Below are 8162 nucleotides of genomic sequence, written 5' to 3'. Positions count from 1 at the left end.
TGGGAAATGTCCAACAATGAAGTTAGGACAGTGGCCCATAAAACATCGGATTCCAACCTGTGTCCTAAGGTGTAAAGACACAGAGTAAAGGCAAAGATACAGTGAGCCTTTAACACGTTCTCCTTTGTTCTTCCTATTTCTCTATTCCTTCTCCATTTCCGATGGTGTTCTCTACCCTCTCTCCAACCCACGTGCCAACAGCCCCTCTTTTCTCTTTTATTCTCGCCCACGTTTCCCTCCTTTCTTCCACCTGCGCCCAACGGTACGGCCCGGAAAACGAACTGGATGCGTTGGACAGGTCACGCGCGCATTGCGGACGCCAGCTAGACCGAGCCCTGGGAGGCTACGGGCTCCCCCGGAAACCCTGCCAGGGGAGCCGGGTTTTGAGCTCAGGCGCCTCTAGCGGCGGCCCCCAGAAATCTGACTCGCGAGGCCAGAGTTGCAGGGACTGAATAGCAAACTGAGGCTGAGTAGGGAACAGACCATGAGGTCAGTGCAGATCTTCCTCTCCCAATGCCGTTTGCTCCTTCTACTAGTTCCGACAATGCTCCTTAAGTCTCTTGGCGAAGATGTAATTTTTCACCCTGAAGGGGAGTTTGACTCGTATGAAGTCACCATTCCTGAGAAGCTGAGCTTCCGGGGAGAGGTGCAGGGTGTGGTCAGTCCCGTGTCCTACCTACTGCAGTTAAAAGGCAAGAAGCACGTCCTCCATTTGTGGCCCAAGAGACTTCTGTTGCCCCGACATCTGCGCGTTTTCTCCTTCACAGAACATGGGGAACTGCTGGAGGATCATCCTTACATACCAAAGGACTGCAACTACATGGGCTCCGTGAAAGAGTCTCTGGACTCTAAAGCTACTATAAGCACATGCATGGGGGGTCTCCGAGGTGTATTTAACATTGATGCCAAACATTACCAAATTGAGCCCCTCAAGGCCTCTCCCAGTTTTGAACATGTCGTCTATCTCCTGAAGAAAGAGCAGTTTGGGAATCAGGTTTGTGGCTTAAGTGATGATGAAATAGAATGGCAGATGGCCCCTTATGAGAATAAGGCGAGGCTAAGGGACTTTCCTGGATCCTATAAACACCCAAAGTACTTGGAATTGATCCTACTCTTTGATCAAAGTAGGTATAGGTTTGTGAACAACAATCTTTCTCAAGTCATACATGATGCCATTCTTTTGACTGGGATTATGGACACCTACTTTCAAGATGTTCGTATGAGGATACACTTAAAGGCTCTTGAAGTATGGACAGATTTTAACAAAATACGCGTTGGATATCCAGAGTTAGCTGAAGTTTTAGGCAGATTTGTAATATATAAAAAAAGTGTATTAAATGCTCGCCTGTCATCAGATTGGGCACATTTATATCTTCAAAGAAAATATAATGATGCTCTTGCATGGTCGTTTGGAAAAGTGTGTTCTCTAGAATATGCTGGATCAGTGAGTACTTTACTAGATACAAATATCCTTGCCCCTGCTACCTGGTCTGCTCATGAGCTGGGTCATGCTGTAGGAATGTCACATGATGAACAATACTGCCAATGTAGGGGTAGGCTTAATTGCATCATGGGCTCAGGACGCACTGGGTTTAGCAATTGCAGTTATATCTCTTTTTTTAAACATATCTCTTCGGGAGCAACATGTCTAAATAATATCCCAGGACTAGGTTATGTGCTTAAGAGATGTGGAAACAAAATTGTGGAGGACAATGAGGAATGTGACTGTGGTTCCACAGAGGAGTGTCAGAAAGATCGGTGTTGCCAATCAAATTGTAAGTTGCAACCAGGTGCCAACTGTAGCATTGGACTTTGCTGTCATGATTGTCGGTTTCGTCCATCTGGATACGTGTGTAGGCAGGAAGGAAATGAATGTGACCTTGCAGAGTACTGCGACGGGAATTCAAGTTCCTGCCCAAATGACGTTTATAAGCAGGATGGAACCCCTTGCAAGTATGAAGGCCGTTGTTTCAGGAAGGGGTGCAGATCCAGATATATGCAGTGCCAAAGCATTTTTGGACCTGATGCCATGGAGGCTCCTAGTGAGTGCTATGATGCAGTTAACTTAATAGGTGATCAATTTGGTAACTGTGAGATTACAGGAATTCGAAATTTTAAAAAGTGTGAAAGTGCAAATTCAATATGTGGCAGGCTACAGTGTATAAATGTTGAAACCATCCCTGATTTGCCAGAGCATACGACTATAATTTCTACTCATTTACAGGCAGAAAATCTCATGTGCTGGGGCACAGGCTATCATCTATCCATGAAACCCATGGGAATACCTGACCTAGGTATGATAAATGATGGCACCTCCTGTGGAGAAGGCCGGGTATGTTTTAAAAAAAATTGCGTCAATAGCTCAGTCCTGCAGTTTGACTGTTTGCCTGAGAAATGCAATACCCGGGGTGTTTGCAACAACAGAAAAAACTGCCACTGCATGTATGGGTGGGCACCTCCATTCTGTGAGGAAGTGGGGTATGGAGGAAGCATTGACAGTGGGCCTCCAGGACTGCTCAGAGGGGCGATTCCCTCGTCAATTTGGGTTGTGTCCATCATAATGTTTCGCCTTATTTTATTAATCCTTTCAGTGGTTTTTGTGTTTTTCCGGCAAGTGATAGGAAACCACTTAAAACCCAAACAGGAAAAAATGCCACTATCCAAAGCAAAAACTGAACAGGAAGAATCTAAAACAAAAACTGTACAGGAAGAATCTAAAACAAAAACTGGACAGGAAGAATCTGAAGCAAAAACTGGACAGGAAGAATCTAAAGCAAAAACTGGACAGGAAGAATCTAAAGCAAACATTGAAAGTAAACGACCCAAAGCAAAGAGTGTCAAGAAACAAAAAAAGTAACCGGGCAATCCATACTCATTCAGTAACACAGGCTCATTTATTTAACCAGCTAATCATTTATCCAAAGGCTTTCCATTCTTCTCCCAATATTTTTTTACTTTAATTTTTCCCACAAGTTTTGATCAGCAAATAAACAGCATTCTTGTTTTGGAAACAAACCAGTGCATTCTACTTCTCGAGTGTTCACTTGCCCCTCAGTTTGTGACCAAGTTGTGGGTATTCTGAGAATCATGCTCTAATGGCTTTTCCATACACTAAAGCTCTGAAAGTAGTGAGTTTCCTAGAATTACCATGCTATTCAAGGTATAGTCTTGTTTCTCAGAATCCCAGGGAACAAAGCAATTGTCTGCCTCTCCCTCTGCCTCCCTCAACTTGATCCATGTGAACATCCGCACCTGCACCCATGCTGATCAATAAATGCCGACAACACATTTTATGAATAGAAAATGATTCTATAAGCATTTTCAGTATTTGGGGTGATCTCAGGTGGGTTAATGACGCTGAGCTGTCCTAACTCTTGCATTGCACCACAGTGCAATGATGACAAGATGATGCCAGGCCCTGGCAGTGTCCTGGGGCAAGGCTGTTAAGAAAATTTTGTGTTTGCAGTGTCTGCTTGCAGAGGCAGAGCTTTTGTGAGTGCGTGTGTGCTGAATGACACCTGGCCCTATGTTTGCCACTCTCCTAAGTAGCACAGAGGAGGAGTGAGGAACGCCTTTCAAGGACCCCCGTGTCTCTGCCTCCACATCTTCCTTCCCGTTTGCACAGTGATTTTGGTGGGAGGAGAGGACTGAGGGGTGCCTTGGCAGGAGTCAGTATCCACTTCTTATATCCAAGGGGGGATTGTCCCTCTCAGATTTGTGTCAGGCTAAGTTTTTTGGTCTTGCTCTAGGCTGGGTCTTCCTGCTTTTCTCTCATCTTACCTCAGTGCTCCTCTCCCTCCTCAGGCAACACCGCAGGCCTGCAGTGCCCCATCCCAATCTCCTGTTTCTTTTTTTTTTTTTTTTTTTTTTTTTTTTGAGACTGAGTCTTGCTCTCTCGCCCAGGCTGGAGTGCCGTGGTGCGATCTCAGCTCACTACAAACTCTGCCTCCAGGGTTCACGTCATTCTCCTGCCTCAGCCTCCTGAGTAGCTGGGACTACAGGTGCCCGCCACCACGCGCAGCTAAGTTTTTGTATTTTTAGTATAGACGGGGTTTCACCGTGTTAGCCAGGATGGTCTCGATCTCCCAACCTCATGATCCACCTGCCTTGGCCTCCCAAAGTGCTGGGATTACAGGCGTGAGCCACCACGCTCGGCCTCCTGTTTCTTAGTCACACTTCTAATGAAAGATGAACTTGCGGCAGTCTCACAGGGAAGGTTGGTCCCCAGACTGTTTTTTCTCAGCATATGTGCCAGCAGCCTTCTAAGAGCTACATGTGTATTATTAACATGCATACTGCTGACAACAGCTCCATGAGATAGGTGTCATTATTTTCTCATTTTAGAAAAGAGAAACTGAGGCACTGCAAGGTTAAATAACCTGCCCGAAGTTACACAGCTAAGTAATGACATTATTGAAGGAAACTTTATATGAAAATTAAAAAACTGAATTGAGAGCATTTATTTAAAAATCATAAGGATATTTACACATTAGGATTTTTTAAAAATTTCGATTGTGGTAAAATACACATACTATAATATTGACCGTCTTAACCATTTTTATGTGTGTGGTTCAGCAGTGTTAAGTATTTTACATTGTTGTGCAAATAATCTCCAGAACTCTTTTCGTCTTGCAAAACTGAAACCCCATACCCATTAAACAACAATTCTCCATTCTTCCATCCCTTTACCCCTCCCAACCAATATCCTGCTTTCTATCTGTGTGAATTTGGCTAATCTAGGTACTTCATGTAAATAGAATCTCATAGTATTTGCCCTTTTGTGATTGGCTTATTTCACTTAGCACAATGTCTTTAGGGTTCATCAATGTTGTAGTATTTTGTGTTGGAATTTCCTTATTTTGTAAGGCTGAATGATAGCTAGATGTTTCTGCCTACCACATTGTGTCTAATCATTCTTCACTGATGGGCACTTGGGTTGCTTCCACCTTTTGCCTATTGTGAGTAAGGCTGCCATGAACATAGGTATACAAACATCTGTTCATGTCTCTGCTTTCAATTCTTTTGGATATAAATCCAGAAGTGGAATTGCTAGATCATGGGGTAGTTCTATTTTTAATTTTTTTAGGAATTGCCATACTGTTTCCCATAACAGCTGCACCTTTTTAGATTCCCACTAGCAGTGTACAAAGGTTCCAATTTCTCTACATCCTCCCCAATACTAGTATTTTCTGGTTTTTATAGATAATGGCCATCTTAATGGGTGTAACGTGGTGTCTCATTGTGGTTATGATTTGCATTTCTCTAATGATGAGTGATATTGTGCATCTTTTCTTGTGCTTATTGGCCATAAGGATATCTTTTTCAGAGAAGTGTGTATTCAAATTTTTGTCCATTGTTTGAGGTGTTTGGTTTCTTTTTTGTTGAATTGTAGGGGTTCTTTAGATATTCTGGAAATTAACCCTGTATCCAAATATATGACTTGAAGATATTTTCTCCCATTCTGTAGGTTGCTTTTTCATTCTGTTGATTTTGTGCTTTGATGCACAGAAGTTTTAAATTTTGATGCACAGAAGTTTTTAAATTGCATAGTACAGTTTATCTATTTTTACTTTTGCTTCCCATTTTTCAGTGTCACATCTAAGAAATCCGATTACCAAATTCAATATCATAATACACTTTTTTCTGTGTTTTTTCTTTTTTTTTTGAGACGGGTTCTCACTCTCACCCAGGCTGGAGTGCAGTGGTGTGATCTCTGCTTACTGCAACCTCTGCCTTCTGGGCTCAAGCAATTCTCCTGCCTCAGCCTCCCAAGTAGCTGGGAATACAGGGCGTGCACCACCATGCCCAGCTAATTTGTATGTTTTTCTCTAAGTGTTTTATACTTTTAGGTCTTACATACAGGTATTTGATCCTTTTTTGGTTTTGTTTTGTTTTGTTTTGAGATGGGGTCATGTTCTGTCACCCAAGCTAGAGTTTGCAGTGGTGTGAACACAGTTCACTGCAGCCTCAACCTCCTGGGCTCAAGTGATCTGATCCTTTCACCTCAGCCTCCCGAGTAGCTGGGACTACAAGCATGTGCCACCACACCCAGCTATTTTTTTTCTATTTTTTTGCAGAGATGAAATTTCACGTGTTGCTTAGGTTGTCTCTAACTCCCAGGCTCAAGCAATCCTCCTGCCTCAGCCTCCCAAATTGTTGGGATTATAGGCATGAGCCACCATGCTTGGCTTTTGAACCATTTTGAGTTAACTTTTGTATGTGGTGTAAAGTGCTTTTTTCTTTTGCATGTACATATATAGTTTTGAAATCTTCTACTATTGTGGTATTTCTTCTATTTCTCCCTTCAGTTTTGTCCATGTTTGCTTTATATATATATATATATATGTGCTTTAATGTTGGGTGCATACATAGTTATGACTGTTGTATCTTGCTGGTGGATTGATATTTTATCATTGTAAAATCCTTTTTTGTCTCTTGAGACAGTTTTTGACAGAAAGTTTACTTTGCCTGATAGAAATACAGTCACTCTTGGTCTCTTTTTGTTACCATTTGCATGTAATTTCTTTTTCCACCCCTTTACTTTCAGCTGATGTGTTTCCTTAAATCTAAAATGACTTTGTCATAGACAGCATAGGTTGGGTCTTGGTTTTTATTTTTATTATTTTTTATTTATTATTTTTTTTTTGAGATGGAGTCTCATTCTGTCACTGAGGCTGGAGTGCAGTGTCATGATCGTGGCTCACTGCAACCTCCACCTTCCGGATTCAAGTGATTCTCCTGCCTCAGCCTCCCGAGTAGTGGTGCCCACCACCACGCTCAGCTAACTTTGGTATTTTCAGTAGAGACAGGGTCTCACCATGTTGGCCAGACTGGTCTTGAACTCCCGACCTCAAGTTATCCACCTACCTTAGCCTCCCCAAATGCTGGGATTACAGGTGTGAACCATCATGCCTGGCCGGCCTTGCTTTTTTGAAAAAAATCCATCCAGCCACTTTATGTCTTTTGATTGGGGAGGGTTTTAACCCATTTATATTTAAAGTTATTACTGACAGAAAAGAATTTACTGTTGGCATTTTTAAGTTGTTATCTGTTAGTCTTGCCATTCCTTTCAGTGTCTTTTCTTCTGTTTCTCTCTTCCTTTGTGTTTTGTTGGGCTGTTTTTCTTTTTTTGGTATAAGTATGCTTTGATTCCTTTCTCTTTTTTAATGTAATCTCTATGGTATTTTTTTTGTGATTACCTTGGGCTTAAATAAAACATTTTATTGTTATAACAGTTTAAGCTGATAACAACTTAAGTTTAACCATGTACAAAAACTACACTTTCAATTATCCCCCCAAACACATACTTTATGTTATTATTGTCACAATTTACATCTATTCATACTGTGAGTCTCTTAACATTTTTTAGTGATAGTTATTTTTAATACTTTGTCTATTAACTTTTATACTAGAGTTAAAAGTAATTTACCCACCACCATTATAATAATACAGTATCCTATATTTGTCTATGTATTTACCTTTACCAATGAGTTTCACTCTTTCTTTTGCTATCAGGTTGCTGTTTTGTGTCCTTTTATTTCAACTTGAAAAACTTCCTTTAGTGTTACTTGTAAGATAGGCCTAGTGGTGATGAACGCTCTCAGCTCTTGTTTGCCTGTTAAAGTCTTTTTCTTGTATATTTGAGTGAGAGTTTTGACAGAGCATTCTTGGTTATCAGGATTATTTTTTCCTTCAGGTCCTTGGATATATCACCCCAATTCCTTCTAGTCTGCAAGATGTCTGCTGAAAAATCTTCTGACAGTCTTCTGGAGGTTTTCTTTTATGTGACAAATCACTTTTGTCTTGCTGCTTTCAAAATTCTCAGTCTTTGACTTTTTACAACTTGATTACAGTGTATCTCAGTGTGGAACTCTTTGTGCTCCTTTTGTTTGGTGTCCTTCGGGCTTCTTGCATCTGTGTGTTTCTTTCCCCAGATTTGGGGAGTTTTCAGCCATTATTTCTTTGAATAAGCTTTTTATTCCTTTCTCTCTCTATTCTCCTTTTGGAACTTTCATAATGTGTATATTGGTCCATTTGATAGTTTTACATAATTCCCCTAATCATTCTTTATTCTTTAAATTTTGTTTTTGTTACTCTGACTGAATTATTTTTGGTGCCCTGTTTCAAGTTCACTGATCCTTAATTCTGCTTTATCTATGTGC

The 8162-nt window shown here is 41.2% G+C and overlaps 1 protein-coding gene across 1 annotated transcript; it reads left to right on the top strand.

The window, feature by feature from the left end:
• Positions 1-305: 305 nt before the first annotated feature.
• Positions 306-3288, top strand: ADAM30 (ADAM metallopeptidase domain 30). Its single transcript, NM_021794.4, has one exon. It carries the CDS (start codon positions 485-487, stop codon positions 2855-2857), a length of 2373 nt encoding a protein of 790 aa, NP_068566.2. The 5' UTR covers positions 306-484; the 3' UTR covers positions 2858-3288.
• Positions 3289-8162: the final 4874 nt, after the last annotated feature.

The sequence above is a fragment of the Homo sapiens genome, chromosome 1 (genome assembly GCF_000001405.40).
Source record: "Homo sapiens chromosome 1, GRCh38.p14 Primary Assembly".
Classification (NCBI taxonomy): domain Eukaryota; kingdom Metazoa; phylum Chordata; class Mammalia; order Primates; family Hominidae; genus Homo; species Homo sapiens.
This window is presented reverse-complemented; position numbering and strand designations above follow the sequence as displayed.

Excerpts from the sequence above, each read along its gene's own strand:
- ADAM30 (NM_021794.4), top strand. The coding sequence starts at position 485 with ATGAGGTCAGTGCAGATCTTCCTCTCCCAATGCCGTTTGCTCCTTCTA.